The sequence below is a fragment of the Homo sapiens genome, chromosome 6 (genome assembly GCF_000001405.40).
Source record: "Homo sapiens chromosome 6, GRCh38.p14 Primary Assembly".
NCBI classification, from domain to species: Eukaryota; Metazoa; Chordata; class Mammalia; order Primates; family Hominidae; genus Homo; species Homo sapiens.
Genome location: NC_000006.12, coordinates 166,120,916 through 166,121,850, shown reverse-complemented (window position 1 = coordinate 166,121,850; position 935 = coordinate 166,120,916).

Genomic DNA, 935 nt, shown 5'->3' with positions numbered 1-935 from the left:
ATGGATGGAAGATGGAATGAGAAACAGGAGGTCGTGTGTATTCTAATTAAAAGGTACATGTTTTTAAAGAAAGTGGCACATCTTAATAGTCTCTTGAGGATTTATTTTTGACATGGATAATTAACTACAGTTTGAGCCAACTTGTGTGTGATTTATTTGTAGAATGTCTCCTATAGAAACTACAACTGCTGTTCATGCGACTAGGCCTAACTTTACTTTCACATTGGGGAAAACGGTTTGAGAACTTTGCATATCCTCAAAATCATATCCAAAGAACAATATTTTGTGAACTAAAATGCATAGGATATGATTGCATATTGTTATTCAATATGTTGAGATTAAATTAAAGAAAGAACACACAGATTATTTTAGTTAGAAATAACCTGGCTTTGTCTTTTTCAAAAGAGCACAACTATATTGAAAGTATTTAAAAGCAAGAAGTTGCATTAAAAAGTCTTGCATTAAGAACATTGTAAGCACTCATGAAAACTAAGTATTTATTATAATTTTTAATTTACTGTATGATCAGAAGTCAAATTGTATGCTTAATTGTATGCTTCAGTTTTTGGTTTGAAAACATGGCCACTGTGTGTATGTAAGTTTTGCAAGAAATTTATTAGCATGATGGCCTGAGTCTCAGTGAGTTGTTTCATATACCACGTTTCATTTTTGCATTAGCTCTATAATGGATAAGTACATTAAATGTGCTCATATAAGTTCTGCTTTTTTTTTTTTTTTTTTTTTTTTTTGAGACAGGTTCTCCCTCTGTCTACCAGGCTGGAGTGCCGTGGTGAGATCACGGCTCACTGCAGCTTTGATTCCTGGGTTCAGGCGATCCTCTCACCTCATGTTCCTGAGTAGCTGGGGCTACAGGCATGCATTACCATGCCCAGATAATTTTTAAATTTTCATTTTGTAGCAACAAGTTTTCACCA